This window comes from Homo sapiens, chromosome 4 (assembly GCF_000001405.40).
Source record: "Homo sapiens chromosome 4, GRCh38.p14 Primary Assembly".
NCBI classification, from domain to species: domain Eukaryota; kingdom Metazoa; phylum Chordata; class Mammalia; order Primates; family Hominidae; genus Homo; species Homo sapiens.
Window position 1 is genome coordinate 107,354,124 of NC_000004.12, and position 890 is coordinate 107,355,013.

Here is an 890-nt window from a genome sequence, read left to right on the forward strand (position 1 = left end):
AGAGAAGACAGCTTATGCCATTTATTTCTGCATATCAGAGACTTTTAGTACTTTCACTAATTTTGCTACTCCTATCTAGAAGGCAGAGCCAAGTGTACAGAATGGAACATGAAAACGGACCAGGAGCATGACCAATGAAGCACAGCATCACAGGGAGATGGTTAGGCCTCCGGATAACTGCGGGCGGGCCTGACTGATGTCAGGCCCTCCACAAGAGGTGGTGGATTAGAATCTTCTCTAAACTCCCCCAGGGAAAGGGGGACTCCCTTTCCCGGTCTGCTAAGTAGCGGCTGTTTTTCCTTGGCACTGACACTACCGCTAGACCATAGTCCGCTTGGCAACGGGCGTCTTCCCAGACGCTGGTGTTACCGCTAGACCAAGGAGACCTCTAGTGGCCCTATCCGGGCATGACAGAAGGCTCACTCTTGTCTTCTGGTCACTTCTCACCATGTCCCTATCTCTGTATGGCCTGGTTTTTCCTAGGTTATGATTGTAGAGCAAGGATTATTATAATATTGGAATAAAGAGTAATTTCTACAAACTAATGATTAATGATATTCATATATAATCATATCTATGATCTATATCTAGTATAACTATTCTTATTTTATATATTTTCTTTATTACACTGGAACAGCTCATGCCGTCGGTCTCTTGCCTTGGCACCTGGGTGGCTTGCCGCACACACATTCTGAATGAAGAACATCCTTTAGTAGATTTGCAGGTCTTTGACAAATCCCCTCAAAAACAAAATTAAATGTTGTTTATTTTGCCGTTAGTCTGGAATGATTGTTTTGGGTGGGTTTAGAATTCTAGATTGATGGTTACTTTTCCTCAGTACTTTAAATATATTATTTCATTTTCATCCAATTCCTAGTGTTGGTGTTGTT

At 42.4% G+C, this 890-nt stretch overlaps 1 annotated feature.

Annotated features, from left to right (window-relative positions):
- Positions 209–503: a silencer, noted in NCBI's record as "tiled region #1704; HepG2 Repressive non-DNase unmatched - State 13:Ctcf". NCBI's record gives its function as "represses a minimal TATA promoter and a strong SV40 promoter by Sharpr-MPRA in HepG2 cells {active_cell/tissue: HepG2}" and the evidence as "EXISTENCE:reporter gene assay evidence [ECO:0000049][PMID:27701403]".